We start from the raw sequence: 21,556 nt of genomic DNA, 5'->3' as shown, positions 1-21,556 counted from the left end.
GATGCGCACCACCACACCTGGCTAATTTTTTAAAAAAATTTTGTAGAGGCCGGGTGTGGTGGCTCACACCTGTAATCCCAGCACTCTGGGAGGCCGAGGTGGGTGGATCAAGAGATCCAGACCATCCTGGTTAATACGGTGAAACCAGTCTCTTCTAAAAATACAAAAAATGAGCCAGGCGTGGTGGCAGGCGCCTATAGTCCCAGCTACTTGGGAGGCTGAGGCAGGAGAATGGCATGAACCTGAGAGGCGGAGCTTGCAGTGAGCCAAGATCACGCCACTGCACTCCAGCCTGGGTGACAGAGCGAGACTCCATCTCAAAAAAAAAAAAATTTGTAGAGATGGGGTCTCACCATGTTGCCCAGGCTGGTCTCGAATTCTTGACCTCAAGTGAACCTCTTGCCTTAGCCTCCCAAAGTGCAGGGATTACCGGTTTGAGCCACCATGTCTGACCTTCTTCTCCTTTCTTATTTTAACTGATTTATAAAGTAATTTCATAGAACAATGTGTATATAATTGTGTTGTTGGGGCTATAATCTACTGAAATACAGTGTACTTGACACTGATGCTACATGGAAGGTGAGAGCAAAGCTATACTGGGAAAAGGAAAGGACATGAGATGGTAGCTGAAACTATAGCAATAAACAAAGACAACCGGAATGGGTAAATTAAAAGGTAGTGGCCGGGCATGGTGGCTCACACTGTAATCCCATTACTTTGGGAGGCCGAGGCGGGTGGATCACCTGAGGTCAGGTGTTCGAGATCAGCCTGGCCAACAAGGTGAAACCCCACCTTTACTAAAAACACAAAAATTAGCCAGGCGAGATGGTGGGTGCCTGTAATCCCAGCTACTTGGGAGGCTGAGGCATGAGAATCTCTTGAATCCAGGAGGCAGAGGTTGCAGTGAGCCGAGATCCCACCACTGCACTGCAGCCTGGGCGTCAAGAGCAAAACTCCATCTCAATAAATAAATAAATAAATAAATAAATAAATAAATAAATAAAATTTTAAAACTCTATAGATATACTTTTGAGACAGGGTCTTGCTCTGTCACCAGACAGGAGTGCAGTGGTACAATCACAGCTCAGTGCAGCCTTGACCTCCTGGGCTCAAGCGATCCTCCAACCTCAGTCTCCCAAGTAGCTGGGACTATAGACGTACGTGCCACCACACCTGGCTAATTTTCATATTTTTCGTAGAGACAGGGTTTCACTATGTTGCCCAGGCTGATCTCCAACTCCTGGACTCAAGCCATCCACTCTCCTTGGCCTCCCAAAGTGCTGGGATTACAGGCATGTGCCACCGTGCCCAACTGTGTAGATATACTTTTTCTCCTTTCTTCTCTCAGTTTCTTTAAAAGACTTCAGACTACCTAATGCATTAATGATACCAAAGAATTGTTGGGTTTTTAACATATAGAAACATAATATGTATAATAATATGTATAACATATTAGCATAAACAATAATAATGCAGGAATGCTATTAAAAATGCATAAATACTATTATACTATAATGCATAATAATAGCATTAGAAGGGAGTATAATGGAGCTATTCAGGATTCTATATTTCACTGGAACTAAGTCGTTATAAATCTGCAAAGACTTTGGTAAGTTAGGCTAAATTACAATACAGTGATTGCTACATGACTCTGTGAATGCACCAAAAAACATTGAACTGCATACCTTAAATCATTGAATTGTATATAAATTATATCTTCATAAGTCTGTTTTTTAAAATAGACAAGGAAGATCTGAATAACAACATACAACATGATTTAATAGAGAAAATACATTAATGCTGTATAGGTCAAATAATATACATTCTTTTTAAGTATCGATAGAACATTCACACACAAAAGAATTTTACCTTAAGCAATAAAGAAAAGTTAATATATTCCAAAAAAGTAGGACTTTCATTGTCCAAAATGCAATAAAAAGGATCTTTTAAATAATCAAATAACTTGCCAATCAAAAGAGAAATCATCTTTTAAAAATCTTTTGGAGGTCGGACACAGTGGCTTACGTCTGTAACCCCAGAACTTTGGGAGGCTGAGGCAGGCGGATCATCTGAGGTCAGGAGCTCGAGACCAGCCTGGCCAACATGGTGAAACCCCGTCTCTACTAAAAATACAAAAATTAGCCCAGCGTGGTGGCATGTGCCTGTAATCTCAGCTACTCAGCAGGCTGAGGCAGGATAATCTGGGAGGCAGAGGTTGCAGTGAGCTGAGACCATGCCATTGCACTCCAGCCTGGGCAATAAAAGCAAAACTCCGTCTAAAAAAGAAAATTATTTGGAGTATAATAAATCTTTCAGATATAATATGGCAATTTCAATTATGTTTAGAAAAGAATGATGAGGGCCGGGCACAGTGGCTCATACCTATAATCCCAGAACTTTGGGAGGCCAAGGTGAGTGGACGGCTTGAGCCCAGGAGGTGAAGATCAGCCTGGGCAACATAGCAAGACCCCATCTCTATAAAAAAATAAAAAATAAAAAAGACAAAAGAATGATGTGAACAGGCCGGGTGTGGTGGCTCACGCCTGTAATCCCAACACTTTGGGAGGCCGAGGCAGGCAGATCACGAGGTCAAAAGATTGAGACCATCCTGGCTAACACGGTGAAACCCTGTCTATACTAAAAATACAAAAAAATTAGCCGGGTGTGGTGGCGGGCACCTGTAGTCCCAGCTACTCGGGAGGCTGAGGCAGGAGAATGGCGTGAACCCGGGAGGCGGAGCTTGCAGTGAGCTGAGACTGCGCCTCTGCACTCCAGCCTGGGCGACGGAGCGAGACTCCGTCTCAAAAAAAAAAAAAAAAAAGAGTGATGTGAACAGTATATATTACAATTTGAGGTTATAGTCAAAGCTTTATTTGTACCTGACCCAATAGGGGAGCCATTTTGCCTACCATGTGACCATTCTGAGGGCTCAGTCTCTTCCTAGCAATGGAGTGGGATGCAAGACACATAAGATAGGTCTACCATAAGTGAAATTGCAGAAGAAGCCAGATTATACACAGCCTGTGAAAGCCATATTGATTGCTTGTATCAGGAGCAAAGCCATTGACAGGTGAATGAGACAAGATTCAGACAGGTTAACAACTGTAGAAGAGAAATCGGTGGATACAGGATACTGACATGAAAGAGAATGAGTTTAATAGCAGAGGATTCGGATGCTCTTCGGAAAATTAATAAAGTGGCTGTCTTTGTGATTACACTGTGACAGTCCAACGGGAAATCCATAGAATATCATCACATGCCTTCATCACGTGCCTTCATCAGAGCTTTCCCCCATCAACACTTGACTCATTCGTCACTGATTTTTAAGAACAATGCATAATTGCAGCTATAACCTAGTTTTCTGAAATATAAAATAAAACTGACTTTTTGTAATGCTTGTTTAATTCTCAAGGCAAAGCTCCAATCATATCTTCTTTCACTGTATATGCAATATGGGTTCCTGTTTTAAGTGGATTCACTCCAATTCCTTTTTTGTTATCGCCATTCTATCTGTTCTAGGATAATGAGGACCTTTGGCAAATGAACTTTTCATCAGCAATTGGTTTCGTCACATGAATTTCTGTATCTGATCACTGAAAAGGTGAAGGCGAAAAGTCGAGGGCCTTTCGGAACAAGTTGGGCAACTGAGATACGGAGTTAGCGGCGGCCCTGCTCCCTGCCCATCCTCAGAAAGATGAGGTGCTGCCAGAGGTTTCAGAGTAGGGGGCACACACAGAGTAGGGGGCACACACTGGCAACTTCAGTTTAAAGCCATTTGTAGCCAAGTCATAGCCCCTGTTGGCAGTATTATACTTGCTCTCAGGCATTCGGGTCCAAATACCACTTCTCCCAGATTCAACAACAATGATCAAGTAGAACTCAGTCTTTTGGCCTGCCGTGTCCAACTTTTTCTTTTTCTTTTTCTTTTTTTTTTAAGTCCAGGTCTCCCTTTGCTGCCCAGGCTGGAATGCAGTGGCGTGATCTCAGCTCATTGCAGCCTTGACATCCTGGGCTCAAGTGATCCTCCCACCTCTCAGCCTCCTGAGTAGCTGTGACTACAGGTGTGCACCACCACACCCAACTACTTTTTGTATTTTTTTTGTAGAGACAGGGTCTCACTATGTTGCCCAGGCTGGCCTTGGACTCCTGGGCTCAAGCGATCTGTCCCCCGGGCCTCCCAAAGTGCTGGGATTACAGGCATGAGCCCCCACCCCCCTCCCCAGTCTGGCCAGTGTGTCCAGCTTTTCTGTCCATTCACCTTCCTTCAGCTGCTCACCCCTCTCTTCCCTCACACAGGGCATCCTCCTCTGAAAAAAACAGATTCTCTTGACTGCAACTGATCCCTGTGGGAAATGGTGTTGGAAGATTCAGCACTGGTCACCGTATGCCTCACGGGGATGGCTTCTTGCCTTTTAGAAACCACTTGAGTCACACAGGAACGTCATCACTGAGCCGCCCACCAGTATCGGCATCCAAGGTTTGGATTGACAAACAGTTGTTTCCTTGGAGCCGTGAATTCCAGACTCCTCTGCCAAAGAAAAGATGCAGTTGACGGTGTGTGGGCATGTTGTGACCTGCTCAAACACTTATTTTTGTATTTGTACCGTAGACCTACATACCACTACTCAACTGTGACTCTGATAAGACATATGGCAGCTTTAAAAAACTGGCGTAATATGTCTTCTTCTGGAGTCAATAGAAAGAATTTGGCTTTCAGCAATGACGGAGGTGTGGCTGCTCCATTCTCTCCTTTGCCTTATTACAGATGACCTCTGCAGCTTTTCCAATAGAGGTTTCAAAGTCAAGTATTTTTTCTCTTATCCTATTTTTATTTATGTATTTAGAGTCTAGGTCTTGATCTATTGCCCAGCTGGAGTGCAGTGCCACGATCACGGCTCACTGCAGCCTCAAACTCCTGGGCTCAAGTGATCTTCCCACCTCCGCTTCCCAAGTAGCTGAGACTACAGGTGCAAATCATCATGTCTGGCTAAGTTTTTAAAAAAATTTTTGTAGACACAGGATCTTGCTGTGTTGCCCAGGCTAGTCTTGAACTCCAAGTCTCAAGGATCTCCCCACCTCAACCTTCCAAAGTGTTGGGACTACAAGCATACACCATTACGCCCAACGAAGTTATTTTAATTTTTTGAAGATAGGGTCTTGCTATGTTGCCCAGGCTGGTCTCGAACTCCCACCCACAAGTGATCCTCCTGCCCAGCTCTTATCCTCTTTCGAAATTTACCAATGCATGGTAAACTAAAAACAATAGTTTGTTTTTTTTTTTTAACTCAAATGCAAGTTTCAGTCAAACTATGTGCTTATTTTTAGAGCATACCGTAGTGCAGTAAATCAACTCCAGTGAACTCTGGTTGGCATGGGTATGTCTCTCCAATGGTCAAAGGTTACCTGCCTTCAGTTTCCTATTGATCCTAAACCAAAACAGACCCCTATCCAGCCTCATGAAGTTTGCTCACCACTGATTTTTCGGAGCCACATCATTCCCTGGGATCTTTCCACCCTGGCTTTTCCCAGCTGTGGGATTTCTAATCTAATTTATGGTATAAAAATATTAATGTGATTGGTTAACCCAGCCTGTGTGTTTTTTGCTTCAAGGTACCACCTCAGGATTTTAAATCTCTTGCATCAGATATTGAATATTTAATGCACGACTAAATCGTTGAGTCACAAACAAACAAAACTTGATTTCCCTGCAGAGGTGCACCTTGAGTTCCTATAACGCATCCTGTACTTGTATCTGTCATGGCCCCAGAGGGTGGGTACAGTTATCCCAGTGTGGGAGAATCTCAGATGATTAGCTGTAACCTCAGTGTTTTGAAGGTGTGACTTTTGTGGGCGCAGCCAGATAATTAATTAGATTTGAACAGCCCGTGTGCCCAACTTCTGTCCTTGAAAATAATTGAAGCCCTTCCAAAAACCAAAAAAGGATTATTTATGTCCTTTAGAACTTTAATCAAAAAACTTTAAAAAAGTTTCAATAATTCTTAAAATGTCAGTAATTGCCCTAGTTCTCCGTGCATAAAGGGATTTATTAAGACTTACTTTCCCATGACGACTTGAAATGGAAAAATCCAAGCTGAAAAAGAAGAACTGGAATAATTGGCTTTGATGAACTGAAGTTACTGCTCCCCATTGGAACTGTGGGTGCAGAGAGTTTAGGGCAGTGGATGGACTCTGAAAATACAGTCAGCGAATTAACACATCATACTGTGGAAGCAACGAGCAGTCCTGGAGCTGGACAGCATTGTCCAGTAACTGGGTCATCGAGGCTTAATTCTCTCATGGTTTCAGCACCAGGCACAGTGCTGCGGTTTTGCAGATAAGATCATGTGCTCTGGGCCAAAATACAGGAAAGCCTCTCCCTGCATCAGTCCACAGATCAAACCCAGCAGGGAGCCCAGGGCCTTGATGCCCAGCTCCTGATGCCTCAGCCAGAACCCCAGCCCAACCCGGAAAGCCTGAGCTCTCCCATGGCAAATTGATGGGCTCTCTCTCTTGTCCTGGTGTGTGATTCCCTAGCTTCGGAAGAATGAAGAAAACACTGAAACCTCCTAGCGTTTTATTATGATAACTATTTTTGGAGACAGGGTCTTGCTCTGTCGGCCAGGCTGGAGTGCAGTGGTGCAATGGTAGCTCACTGTAACCTTGAACTCCTGGGTTTCACCGATCCTCTCACCTCATGCCTGACTAATTTTTAAAGTTGTATTTATTTTCTTTTCGTAGAGACAGGGCCTCACTATATTGCCCAGGCTGATGAAATTTCCCAGCTTTGTTAAGTAAGAATCAGGCAGCCTTCATCAGCCTGTGGAGAAAGCATCAGAGTAGGTAAAGAAAAACTCCTTAAAAGCAGATTTCACCTTCTGATTCTGTGATTGTCCGCAGAACGTCTTTTCATGACCTATATCCATCCATGTTGAATTTCGGATAAAGGGTAAAGGAAAAAGCTTACTTTTCCAGTATAGGCTGGACAACAGGTTTAAGATTGTATTAATTCAAAAGGAGTTGATTGGGAAGCTATTGTAGGCTCACACATTTGGTGGGAGCTGGAAGACAATCCTGTTCTCAGGGAACTTGGTCACCGCCTCATCTTAGGAACAGCCAGTTGGAGATACAGCCAGATATCTTCCGTTATGGCCTCTTCCCGCCATGGCCATCACTGCCTATGGATGCCCCGCCATCCTTGTGAGCAGATGCTCCACCATCTTTAAGATCCAAGGTCTGGGCAGTGGACTGGACCTGAAATTGTCTGAGTATGGGTCACAGGCCCCGGTCCCCAGCATCCCAGAGAAGGAGGATTGGCCTCTCCAGCTTCCACAGAGGCCAGGGGGGCAGCGGGGGACAGTGGGAGACATGGATCTGAAGTTACCTCTCTGCCAAGACCACATGGTACGGGACAGGTCACTGCTCCTGAGGACTGAGGTGCCCCTGCAAGGGGATGCAGCAGCCAGGCAGCCAGACCCAACAATGGCCCCTGCCTGGCTGGGAAGGCCAAGGGACACCATGATTAGGCTTCAAGAGCCCAGCCCATGAGGATCCCTCCCTCTTCCGAACTCCCCAGGCATCTACAATGGCTCTCACTCAGCTGTCACATCCCGAAATGTGCCCAGGGTTCCCGAGTACCTCCCAGCGAGATGCCAAGCTTCCTACAGTGATCTCCAAGAAAGGCTGCACGGTGCCAGGAACATAACAATTACTCAAAACATGTGTGTTGACTGCGAATATGAAACCAATGACACATGTGAAATTGCATTGCACTGTGCTCTGAAAAACCCAGAACGCTGTTTGGGGAGAAATCCGGGAGTGGAGCGAACCCACGTCCTCATCTGAGATCCATGTGACCTTGGCCAGTTTCTTCTTTCTGGGTCCCAACTTTTTCATCTGAGGATGGTAATATTTACCTTGAAGTGTTGTTGGCAAAATTGGAGATAATTTAGGCAAAAATGCCTGGCACATACCAAGCGTTTAATACACAGTTTAATAATTATAATCAGATGTGGACTTTTTCGTATGATCTTCCTCTATCAGACACTTCATGCCATGATTAAAGACAAATGTGTCTTTAAGTTCTTTAGAGAAACTGATTAACCCCAAATTTGCTTTATATCATAGGCTATGTAAATATTGCAGACATAATTTTTTAATGTCCAGGATTTGTATAATTTCATATTAGAAAACTTATTTCTTAATAATTTGTTTTAAATGATATTATGGAAAAAGATAGCACAACTTGACCCTCTGTCTGGAAAATCTGTTTTATCCTTTTGGATAACAGCAAAGACTTTGTTTTTTCTTTAGAGGTGGGGTCTTGCTCTGTTGCCCAGGCTGCTGGAGAGCAGTTGTGCAATCACAGCTCTTCTGGGTCTCAGAGATCCTCCCACCTCAGCCTCCTGAGTAACTGGTATTACAGGCAGGTGCCACCATGCCCAGCTAATTTTTTAAAAATTATTTTGTAGAGACAGGGTAAGACTTTTTAATCAAGGTTTTTAGTTTGATTTGAGGCAAAAAGATTAAAAGCCTTGATACTTGGTTAATTAAGGTACTGACTTTTTAAACTGCCAACAAGTATCTATTGAGTGCTCACTGTATGCAAGGCACAGTCCTAAGCATTTAGTATGAACCAGGGGATAAAAGAGAGGAAACTCCCTGCCTTCCTGGGGTCCCATTCTAGCAGGGGAAACAGACCACAAACAATAGAAAACAGAGGTAAGCTGGACACCGTGTTATTTTTTTTGCGTTAATTAACATATAATAATTGCACATATGTACGAGGAACAGTGTGATATTTCAGTACATGTATGCATCGTACAATAATCAAATTAGGATATTTAGCATATTTGTCACCTCATATATTTATCATTTCTTTGTGGTGACAGCATTCAAAATTCTCTTTTCTAGCTATTTGGAAATATGCAATACAATGTTGCTAAACAAACATAATCATCCTACTGTGCAATGGATCACCAATAGATAGGAGAACTTATTCCTCCTATCTAACTGTAACTTCGTATCAGTCTCTTCCTATCTCCCCCACCCCCTGCCCCCTGCTTCTCTGATAATCACTATTCTACTCTCTACTTCTATGAGATCAGCTTTTTTTTTGAGACAGAGTCTAGCTCTGTCGCCCAGGCTGGAGTGCAGTGGTGTGATCTCAGCTCACTGCAACCTCCACCTCCCAGATTGAAGCAATTCTCCTGCCTCAGCCTCCTGAGCAGCTGGGACTACGGGCGCACTCCACTGCAGCTGGCTAATTTTTGTATTTTTTTGTAGATACGGGTTTCACCATGTTGTCCCGGCTGGTCTCAAACTCCTGTGCTCAGGTGATATGCCTGCCTTGGCCTCCCAAAATGCTGGGATTACAGGCATGAGCCAGAGTGCCCAGCCACATCAACTTTTTTAGGCTCCACATATGAGTAAGGTCACATAGACTTTGTCTTTCTGTGCCTGGCTTATTTCATTTAACATAAGGTCCTCAAAGTTCATCCATGTTGCTGCAAATGACAAGATTTCATTCTTTTTTAAGGCTGAATAGTATTCCACTGTGTATATATACCACATTTTCTTCATCCATCCATTGATGGACACTTAGGTTGATTCCATATCTCGGCCATTGTGAATAATGCTGTAATAAACATAAGAGTACAGAAATCTCTTTGACATGCCGATTTCATTTCCTTTGGATCTGTACCCTCTGGTGGGATTGTTGGATCTTATGGTAGTGCTATTTTTAATTTGTTGAGGAACCTCCATGCTGTTTTCTATTATTTCTGACTAATTTACACTCCCACTAGCAGTGCATGCTGTATTAAAAGGTGGTAAGTATCGTGGGGGTGGAAAGCGGAGGAGGCTAAAGAGGAACAGGCGTGGGATAAAGTACATTTTAAATAGCACAGCCGAGGCCACAGTGAGAAGGCCATGTGGAACCAAAGACTTACACAGTCCCATCAATAGGATCAAAGCCCCCAAAATGGGCCATGAGATTGGACTATCTAGAATGGCTTTCTAGAGATGTCGTATTACTCTGAAAACTGCCAAATTCACTTTTTCTCCTACCACCTGCTATCGTAGGTATAATCACAGCCACTCCCTTGGGAAATGTCTCCTCCCCTCCTCTCCACCTTCTCTTCAAGGATTATATATATAGGATTTGTGCTCACAGAGGCAGCTAGACTCCTACAAAGGAAAATGTTAAGTTCCTTTCTCTTGACAAGAGATGTGTTCCTGCGGGGAGAATTTTACTGTAACTGAAATTTAAGTAAAACTCACCGAAATGACATGCTTAGTGAATTATCTTTTAAAAGGGGCCTCTCCATCCAAAACACGTGCAAACAAGAGCCAGTGGGATCCACCCGAGAGTAGAATGTGTTCTCCTGTGCATGGATTTAGTAACAGCCACACTTATTTCCAAAAACTCACATGAGATCTGCCAGGAGTTTGCTCTCCTTAGAGGGAAGGGAAAAAGAGGCACCGGCATATGAGGAAAACCTCACCTTCGATTACTGGGATATTCATCAAGTCAAGATTGTCATTAAAACACACACACACACACACACACACATACACACACAAAACTGTTTTTGATACAGAATTCTCCCAGAATCACATGAGGTACACAGATGCCAAATCTTGTTAAGAGTTGCAAGGGTGAATCTCCAGCGAGCTCAGTTTCTTTTCTTTCTTTTTTTTTTTTCTCATTTTTCATCCAAAGCTGCATCTCTGAGCGCTCAGCTCTGCCCCGTGGGAGAAGGAAGAGGAGTTGTTGGCGTTGCCTTTGATTATGGGTTTCCATGGTATCCGGGAAGAGAGAGGAGAAGGGAGGGGCTTGGGAATGGCAACTGTAGACTCGGCCAGCTCTGGGGACACCTCATACCGAAATTCTCCTAAAAATCAGCTGGGAATAAGAGAACCATATCCTTAAGAAGAATCCGTGGTATAAATTAGTTTTGGATTCCTAAGGGATCAAGACCACATCTGGGTACGTTTGTTGGGTCTATTTCTGTCTCGTTTACCCAGGTTTTCTGTCCTAATTCTTTCTTCTCAATTCCATAATGAAAAGTAGTCTCTTATCAAAGCTCCTTTTTCTAAAAATAGTCAATTTAATGTTTCTCTGACCATGGAAAATGTAGTCCCTTAGGGGAAATTTTCAGAACTGTTGATGAGCAGCTGAATTAGAAACGCTGTCAGCAGCAAGGAGAGAATCACGCTGATTTGACCTCTTGGCCACCTGCCTGGCAAGGACCTAAGAAGATGGATACTTGCATTGTACTGACAAAAGTGTTTGTTGTTTAATGAGTTGCAAATCAGTATCAGGCTTGTTTGAGGTGCTTTCTTTTTCTTTTTCTTTCTTTCCTTCTCTTTTTTTGAGACAGGATTTTGCTCTATAGCCCAGTGTGGACTACAGGGGCATGATCATAGCTCACTGCAGCCTCAAACTCCTGGGCTCAAGTGATCCTCCTGCCTCAGCCTCCGGAGTAGCTGAGACTACAGGTGTGCACCACTGTGCCTGGCTATTTTTTTTTTCATTTTTTTTATAGAGACAGGGGTCTCACTATATTGCCCAGGCTCATCTTGAACTCCTGGCTCAAGCAATCCTCCCACCTCAGCCTCCCAAAGTGCTGGGATTATAGGCATGAGCCACTGCACCCGGCCTTGCTTTACTTTTCTTTCAAGGAACTAATAAGGGCACAGCTCTGAAATTTCACAAGACTAGCACGCAGATCAAGGAACAGAAGTCCCCTTGTGATTCTTATCCCAGTCTCCACCCTCCCTCCCCCTCAAACACCATGAAGTAGTTTTGCCTGTTTGATAGAAAACTTGATATAAATGCAATTCCATGGAATGTGCAGATGGTCCTCTTTCATATCTGGCTCTTGTCATTCCACATTATGTTCATGAGATTCACCTATGTTGGCAGTAGCAAAAGATAACTCATTTTTGCTACTCCATAAAATTCTACTGTGTGAATATTCCAAGATTTATCCATTGGAGAAGTGGTTAGTTTCCAGTTTGGGGCTATTATGAACACCTCCATGAACATTGTCCTACGTCTTCTGATGTGCACATGTGCATTTGTGTTGCGTATACACCTAGGAATTGAATCCGTGGGTTACAGAATGTGTGTCTGTTCAGCTTTCGTGTTGTCCAATCATTTCCCAAAGTGGTTCTATCAACTTACACTCAAAGCATATGAGACATTCAGTCACCCCATGTTCTGGGCTGAATTGTGGCCCCCCAAATTCATATCCTGAAGCCCTAACCTCTACTACCTTAGAATGTGACTATATGTGGAAATAGGGCCTTTAAAAAGATAATTAAGATTAAATGAGGTTATCAGGGTGGACCCTAATCCAATATGACTAGTGTCCATATAAGAAGAGATCAGGACACAGACACACACAGAGGGATGACTCTGTGAAGACATTGGAAGAAGATGGCCATCTTCAAGCCAAGGAGAGAGGCCGTCAGAAGAGACCAACCCTGCTGACACCCTGATGGACTTCCAGCCTCCAGGACTGTGAAGAAATACATTTCCATTGTTTAAGCCACCCAATCTGTGGTACTTTGTTATGCCCGCAGATCTTACAAACATTAAAAAGAAGAGGATATGATAAACAATGACTCTCTTATGCCAATGAATTTGAAAATTCGGATGAAACTTAGAAAAAAAACACAACCTACCAAAGTAGAAAAATCTGAATGATCTCATTACTCAATTTACTCAATTGAGTAAATTGAATTTATGATTTAACACCTTCCCACGAAGAAAACTCAAGTCCAGGTGGCTTCACTGATGGATTCTATCCAATATTCCAGGAGGATAAATATTTGCTGTTCCAGGGACCACTAAAAGAGGGAGCACCTTTCAACTTGTATGAGGACAGAATGACCTTTATCCCCAAACTAAGAAGGATATCGTAAGAAGAGAAAATTATTAGCCCATCTCTCCCATGAATATAGATGTAAAAATTCTAAAAAAAAAAAAAAGCCAGCAAAAAACAAAACACACACACACACACACACACACACACACACACACACACACAAAATTAGCCAGGCATGGTTGTACACACCTGTAGTCCCAGCTACTTGGGAGGCTGAGGAAGGAGGAGCCCAGGAGTTTGAGGCTGCAGTGAGCTATGATTGGGCCACTGCACTCCAGCCTGAGCAGCAGAGTGAGAGAGTGAGACCCTGTCTCAAAAAAAAAAAAAAAGTCTGAATTTTAAACAGATTATTGGACCGGTGGTTCCTATCCATCAGCTCATTCAACTTTAGCACCGGCCTCATCCCCAGTAGCTTTTCCAGAATTCCTGCCTTCCCCATGAAGCTCCATGTGTTTTCCCAATTCAAACTTGGGCTTTTCCGCATTTTTACTTTACTGATGAAGACATCACAAGGAATATACACAGATTGGCAAGTCTTTCCTATGTCTTTTTCTAACACCATCCGGAATCCATTTATTGACCACTTCTTTCAAGCCACTCGTCTGCACCTCTTGGGTCATGATTTCCATCATCTTCTTCCAGACTTGGCAAACCTGTTGGTACTGAGTATAAGAGGGCTTCCGTATCTGATTGTTGCATTTTTTAAGTAAAACCACACAAAACAGACAAAGCAAATAATCACTGATAGTCTTGACATCAACATAAGCTTCAATCATGGTCTGCCACTTTTTGGCCATTGAACACATCTTGTCACAGGTAAGATCCATGCCATGGAAGTTAGGCAGGCAGTTTTTGCCCTCAACATCTTCAGTAATCAGCTTCAATTTTCTAAGTGCAACTTCATCATTCTGCAGATCAACAGGGCTCGCTTCAAACACATGACGCTTAAGGCCAACTGATGCAATTTTGGTTCCTTGAGTTCTGGTGACTAGTGTCTGTCAAATATTTCTTATATTGAATATAACAGGAGCTTTCACACTTCCACATCATACCAATCTTTCTTTCTCTCTTTCTTTTTCTTTCTTTCTTCTTTCTTTCTCCTTCCTTCCTTCTTTCCTTTCTCTCTTCCTTCCTTCCTTTTCCTTTCCTTTCCCTCCCTCTCTCCCTCCCCTCCTTCTTTCCTTCCTTCCTGCCTTCCTGCCTTCCTTCTTGCCTTCCTTCCTTTTCTCAGAGTCTCCCTGTATCACTCAGACTGGAGTGCAACGTTGTGATCATAGCTCACTGCAGCCTTGACCTTCTGGGCTTGAGAGGTCCTCCCACCTCAGTCTCCCAAGTAGCTGGGACCACAGGCATGCACCACCACACCCTGCTATTTATTTGTCTGCTTGTTTGTCTGTTTGTTTATGTATGTATTTACTTATTTTTTGAAAAGACGGGGTCTCACTTTGTTGCCCAGGCTGGTCTCGAACTCCTTGCCTTAGACTATCCTCCTGCCTTGGCCACCCAAAGTGCTTGGATTACAGGTATGAGCCACCACACCCAGCCCACCAATCTTTCTTAGAAAGTGGATGAGCCAATTTCTTCTTGGCTTCCTTTTTGCTGCCTTTCAAAAGACGCTTGTTCTTGCCAACCACCATGGCGCTGCTCAGAGAGCCAAAAGTCAGACAAGTTTAGAATTATCGTATCTTCCTGGTGATTGATTCTTTTCTCATTACCCCTCTTTAGCCCTAGTCATAACTTCTTAATGCTTTCTGCCTTAGCCTTGTTTTGTCCTATCTGACTATAACTGCGCATCCACTGTGTTTTGGTTGATGTCTACAGTGTCTACATTTTCCTATAGTTTTATATTTAGTTTTTCTATATCTTTATATTTAATGTGTGTCTCTTGTAAGCAATGTTTAGTTGGATTGTGTTTTTTATTCAATCTGATAATTGTATTTTAATTGGAATATTTGATCTTTTTATATTTAATGCAATTAGTGACACATAAGATTAAAATCTATCATCAGTCCTTCTTCTCTCTTCATTGTTTTAACTCTCTTATCTTCATTTTGATTATTCAAGTCATTTTTTTTTAATTCCTCATCTGTAGCCCAGGCTGGAGTGCAGTGGTGTGATCATAGCTCACTGCAGTCTCAAACTCCTAGGCTCAAGGGATTCTCTCTCCTCAGCCACCCGAATAACTGAGACTACAAACATGTGCCACAGTGCTAGGTTAATTTTTAAAATTTTTTATAGAGATGAAGTCTCATCATGTTGCCCAGGCTGGTCTCAAACTCCTAGACTCAAGTGATCCTCCTGCTTCGGCCTCCCAAAGCATTAGAATTACAGGCATGAGTCACTGTGCCCAGCTGTTTTTAATTAACTCTTATTTTTTTTGTAGAGGCAGGGTCTTTCTATGTTGCCCAGTCTGGTCTCAAACGCCTGGCCTCAAGCAATCCTCTGACCTCAGCCTCCCAAGTAGCTGGGATTACAGGCACATGTCACTGCACCTGGCTGAGTCATTTTTATTACTCCATTTCACCACTCTACTAGCTTCTCAAATACATATTATTTTACTATTTGAAATCTGCAGATTGCAATATGCATCCTGTATTTACTAGCGCCAGTATGAGTTGGTACATTTATTTCTTCCCGGATGATTAAGAATACATTTAGAATATTTTAACTTCCTCTTTTCCTGCAGTAGATGCCTTCTATGCCCCCATCTAAATCCCCTGGCACTCCCATTCCTGCACATCCTGGCTCAGTTTACAACTCCCAGCATCTGTGACTCACCTCCGCCCAAGGGCTTCTGTGGAGGCTGAGTATAGCGCTGGCTAGAAGTGCCGGGACATTAAAATTTCCCTGGAGTAGTTTTCAACCCATCACTGGCCACAGTTGCTGCATAACTCGCCCATCTTCTATGTGCTTCAGGTGCTATTAACTCTGAGCTGCATTTTCCACCTTTGTTCCCAGGGTTTCCAAGCAGAATTAAGCTTCAGTTAGCCAGAGCGATACTTTGTGGGATTATGCACAATTTATTGGTTCCCTTCCCTTCCCTACCTCACTTCCCATGTCCCATACTGATGTGATCTGGGTTAACTTCCCAAATAAATCATTTGGACTCAGATCTTTGTTTCAAAGGTTGCTTCTGGTAAAGTCCCTTCCCTTGTTTTGTGATGTTATTGACATATATTCTGATTCTAGGTGTTTATAAAACCCAGAAGTCATTATTATTTTTGTTTGATGTGGCCAGTGTTCACTTAGATTTACCCACATATTTTATGCTTTCTCTTACTCTTTATTCCTTCCTGAATTTCTGCCCTTAACTCTGGAATGGTTTTTCTCATGCTTGAAGAACTCCTTTGGGGCACATTGGCTCACACCTGCAAATCCACATTTTAGGAGGCCAAGGCGGGAGGATTGCTTGAGTCCAGGAGTTCAAGATCAGCCTGGGCAACAAAGCAAGACCTCAACAAAAAAAATACAAAAAGTAGCCAAGCATGGTGGTGCACACCTGTAGTCCCAGCTACTTGGAAGGCTGAGGTGGGAGGATCTTTTGAGCAGAGGAGGTCGAGGCTGCTGTGAGCCATGATCACGCCACTGCACTCCAGCCTGGGCAACAGAGTAAGACCCTGTCTCAAAAAAACAAAAAGAAAAACAAAAAACTCCTTTAGCATTTCTTCTAGTGTGGGTATACAAGTAAATAATTCTCTCAGTTGTTTGCTTAAACATTTATTCATTTCGCCTTCCTTTCTGAAGCATAGGTCACTGAACATAGAGTTCTAGGTTGGCAATTATCTTCTTTTTTACTCTTTTTTTTATTACTCTTTTGATTATTAAAGTCATTTTTGACTTGAAGTCAAAAATTATGTCTTAATATCACATTGAAGACATTATTCCATTTTCACCTGGCTTCTATCCTTTCTATCAAAAACTCAGCTGTCATTTATATTGTTCATTTTTAAGATAATGTGATTTTTTTTCCTCTAGATACTTTTAAGATTTCTCTTTGATTTTTAGTGTATTTGTGAGGATGTGCTTGAGTATGGCTTTCTTTGTATATATGCAGCTTAGGATTCATTCTATTGCTCTCTTTTTTTTTTTTTTTTTTGAGTCAGAGTCTCATTCTGTCACCCATGCTGAAGTGCAGTGGCATGATCTCAGCTCACCACAATCTCTGACTTCCAGATTCAAGTGATTCTCATGCGCCAGCCTCCCGAGTAGCTGAGGCTACAGGCATGTGCCACCAGGCCCAACTAATTTTTTGTGTGTGTATTTTTTTTTTTTTTTAGTAGAGATGGGGTTTCGCCAGGTTGGCCAGGCTGGTCTCAAACTCCTGGCCTCAAGTGATCCGCCCACCTTGGCCTCCCAAAGTTCTGGGACTACAGGCATGAGCCATCATGCCCGGCCTCCTTCTCTCTTTCCTCTTTTGGGAACCCCAATGATAGGACATTAAACATTTTTAACATACCTCTTAAATTACTGTCTATAGTTTCCATGTTCTTCCTCTCACCGTACTTCAGTCTGGACCTATCCTCCAGTTCACTGACCTTCTCATCTCTCCATTCAGCTTTTCAATCCACCTGCCTTCCAGTTTAGTGACCTCTCTTCAATGTGCATTGACTGTTAACTCCATCTATTGAGGTCTTAATTTTGGCTATTGCCCTTTTCACACTAGATTTTCCATTTGATGATATTTTTATAGATCTTAGTCACTGGAGAAATTTTTTTTTTTTGAGATGGAGTCTCGCTGTGTCGCCCAGGCTGGAATGTAGTGGCATGATCTCAGCTCACTGCAACTCCACCTCCCAGGTTCAAGTGATTCTCCTGCCTCAGCCTCCCAAGTAGCTAGGATTACAGGCGTATGCCACCATATCCGGCTAATTTTTGTATTTTTAGTAGAGACGGGGTTTCACCATGTTGGCCAGGCTGGTCTTGAACTCCTGACCTAAGGTCATCCACCCACCTTAGCCTCCCAAACTGCTGGGATTACAGGCATGAGCCATCATGCCAGGCCAGATTTTTTATTCACATATTTTCTTAAACAGTTAAAAAATTATTTGTCAAAGTATAACATACTATATTAGGGCTATCCAGAAAAACAGACCAATAGAATGTGTGTGTCTGTCTGTGTGTTTATAAAGAGATTAATTACAAGGAATTGGCTCACCTAATTACAGAGTCTGAGAAGTCCAAACTCAGGAGAGCTGACGGTTTAAGTTCCATGCAGGAGAAGACCCATGTCCCAGTTTGGAGACAACCACACAGAGAGAAAGAATTTTTTCTTACACAGCCTTTTGTTCTATTCAGGCCTTCAGTGGATTGGATGAGGCCCATCCACATAGGATAGGGCAGCATGACCCACTATTATTTCCATCATTTATCAAAGATAATCTCTCTCTCTCTCTCTTTTTTTTTTTAAGAGATGGGGTCTCACTGTTGCCCAGGCTGGTCTCAAACTCCCGGGCTCAGGGGATCCTCCTGCCTCAGCCTTCTGAGTAGCTGGGATTACAGGTGCATATCACTGTGCCTGGCTGAAGAGTTCATCCTTTCTTTCCTCATTGCAATACAGGTGGCTGTGGTCATAAATCAGTTGACTGTATGTATCTGTACGTGCTTTTCCACTGGTCAGTTTGTCTGTCCTTGTGCTAATACTGATGCAGGGCAGGTGAGCCCCAGATAAGGGCTTAGCCCAAGAAAGTTCTTTGCTTTGCCCGGGAAAGAATTCAAGGGCGAGCCAAAGGTAGAAGAAAACAGCTTTACTGAAGCAGCAGTGTTACAGGATCTCACATGGAGTAGTCTTTGAACAGAGCATCACTTAATTCATAAGACAGTCCCATAGTCATGGCCAGTATTTACTGAAGAACAGTCAAAAATGAAGAGGACAAAACCTTAATATTGTAAATAACTTAATAGGAAAATAGAACTTGACTTGCCACAAGAAAGTGTCTTGCATAGACAGTCCAGGTATTTATCAATTTCATAAACTGGAATTGGGGTCAAAATGGATGGGGTAGATTTGTGCTCTCCTGGACCTTGTCCATTCTCTGTGTGGACAGAGAGGTGATGTCACGGAGGGTGACAGTATTTTAGGGACTGGTTAAAAATTACTTAACATTTAAAAAATTAAAGCCATACCTGAGTCTATATAAGCCAAGTAACGTCCATAAGATGCTAGGTTGGGGCCGGGTGCAGTGGCTCACGCCTGTAATCCCAGCACTTTGGGAGGCCGAAGGGGGGCAGATCATCTGAGGTTGGGAGTTCTTGATCAGCCTGACAAACAGGGAGAAACCCCATCTCTACTAGAAATACAAAAATTAGCTGGACATAGTGGCGCATGCCTGTAATCCCAGCTACTCGGGAGGCTGAGGCAGGAGAATCACTTGAACCTGGGAGGCGGAGGTTGCAGTGAGCCGAGATCACACCATTGTGCTCCTGCCTGGGCAAAAAAAAAAAAAAAAAAAAAAAAAAAAAAAGAAGATGCTTGGTTGGAAGGCACTGCCAAGGAGAAAGGCTCATGAGTCTTTGGGGTGGACACAGCTCGTCCTTGTCATCACCCACTGATTCTTTTGATAATGGCACAAATTCTTCTTTGAGCAGCCAGCCTGGCCGGGCCACAACAGAGTCACTGTGATTGGTTGGTTAAGCAGGCTAGAGCAATATCAGATGTTCCTCTTGCGAATTCCAATGATGACAGCAGGGACAAAGAAAATGGCTGGGCTGGTTCTTCTCAGCAGCAGCGGCACCATAGTAGATGCTGGTCCGTTCCTGCCATCTGGATTCCTGGAGTTGCTCTAGTGACTGTCATTTGTGCAGTTGTTCCAGGTTTTTTCTTGGTTTCTATGAGCTTCTCCATATTTTTTCCATAGATTATTTGGTTTAAGTTAACTAGACTCAGTTCCTCTTGCTTGTAAGTCAGTAAGACCTATAAAACCCTGATGGATTCTGGACTTAACCAATGGGAAAACACGTTAAGAGGCAATTTAGCATATTCCTAAATTGTTATTAAGCAGAATTAGATTTAAATAACCTCAGAGGCCAGGTGCCGTGGCTCATGCCTGTAATCCCAGCACTTTGAGAGGCCAAAGCAGGCAGATCACTTAAGGCCAGGAGTTCAAGACCAGCCTAGGAAATGTAGCGAGACCCCCATCTCTACAAAAAATACAAAAATTAGCTGGGTGTGGTGGCATGCACCTGTAGTCTCAGCTACTTGAGAGGCTGAGGTGGGAGGATTGCTTGAGGAAGTTGAAGTTGCAGTGAGCTGTGCTTTCACCACTGTACTCCACCCTGGGCAACAGTGAGACCCTGTCTCAAAAAAAAATTTCCTTTAATAATAAATGACCTCAGAAAGGCATAATATAGCATAGATATGTACAAATAGTGTATGCCACAATGTCACCTATTAGGAAATGGAGTGGGCCAGGCATGGTGGCTCATGCCCATAATCCCAGCACTTTGGAAGGCTGTGGCAGGAGGATCACTTGAGGCCAGGCCATCCTGAGCAACATAGCAAGACTCTGTCTCTACAAAAAACAAAAAAATTAGCCAGGTGTGGTGGTGCATGCCTATAGTCACAACTACTCAGGAGGCCGAGGTGGGAGGATCACTTCAAGAGTTCAAGGCTGCAGTGAGCCGTGATTGTACCACTGCACTCCAGCCTGGATGACAGAGCAAGCCCTTATCGCTTTAAAGAAAAAAAAAAGAAAGAAAAAAAGAAAAAGAATAAAAGAAATAAAGTGGACCTACCAAGAAGTTATTTCTTACATCCAATTTTAAATTCTCAATTTTTGTCTATATTCATTTAATGCTATTACTTATTACATATTAATTAAATGCTTATTAATAACCAGATGGTGATTATTAATTACCAACAATTAATTAATAATTTATTAAATTATTAATTAATGTGTGTTCACCACTCACTAGGCTCCAGATTTTTTTTTTTTGAGACAAGGTCTTGCTCTGTTGCCCAGGCTGAAATGCAGTGGCTCAGATCATGGCTTACTGCGGCCTTGACCTCCCAGGCTCAAGCGATCCTCCAGCCTCAACCTCCCAAGTAGCTGAGACTACAGGTGCATACCACCATACCTGGCTAGTTTTTTAAATTTTTTTGTAGTGACGAGGGTCTCACTATGTTACCTAAGCTGGTCTCGAACTCCTGGGCTAAAGCAATCCTCCTGCCTCAGCCTCCCAAAGTGCTGGGATTATAGGCGTGAGCCACCACGCTTGGCCCAGGCTCCAGCTTTATAGGTGATAGAGGATGTGCTGCTTTTGTTGTGTGTGATTGAGGGTGGCTGCTAAGACACCAGTCATGAGAGAATTAATGAAGACACAGAAATGAGTTTACCAGAACCCAGCTGGACAGAGGTGGGGTGGGTGGAGGGGCAGTGCCCTGAATGTACATATAAGGAATCCATTGATAAGCTGCTTGGGCTGGGGAGTGAGACCGCCAGGGTGCACGCTCTGGCAGGAGTGGGAACATGAACTGCCTTCTAATGTGTGTGGGTCCTCTTACCTGCAGGACTAGCATAGCCTACTGTTCAGAGTTAGCACTGCCACCAGATGATGGGGTTTGGATCCCAGCTCCAAGCCTTTTTTTTTTTATTTAAGAAAAAGTTTAAATCCTGGTAAAATATGCATAAGATAAAATTCACCACCTTAACCAATTTTAAGTGTAT

The 21,556-nt window shown here is 43.1% G+C and overlaps 1 pseudogene, besides 1 other annotated feature; it reads right to left on the bottom strand.

Annotated features, from left to right (window-relative positions):
- Positions 3,898-5,097: an enhancer, noted in NCBI's record as "BRD4-independent group 4 enhancer chr19:33841025-33842224 (GRCh37/hg19 assembly coordinates)". NCBI's record gives its function as "activates an origin of replication core promoter dependent on BRD2, P300/CBP, MED14 and CDK7 cofactors, and independent of BRD4, by STARR-seq in HCT116 cells {active_cell/tissue: HCT116}" and the evidence as "EXISTENCE:reporter gene assay evidence [ECO:0000049][PMID:35650434]".
- On the bottom strand, positions 13,232-14,013 carry RPS3AP50 (RPS3A pseudogene 50; annotated as a pseudogene).

Source organism: Homo sapiens, chromosome 19 (genome assembly GCF_000001405.40).
Source record: "Homo sapiens chromosome 19, GRCh38.p14 Primary Assembly".
Taxonomy (NCBI): domain Eukaryota; kingdom Metazoa; phylum Chordata; class Mammalia; order Primates; family Hominidae; genus Homo; species Homo sapiens.
Note: the sequence above shows the minus strand (reverse complement) of the source record. Positions and strands in the feature narration are given on the sequence as shown.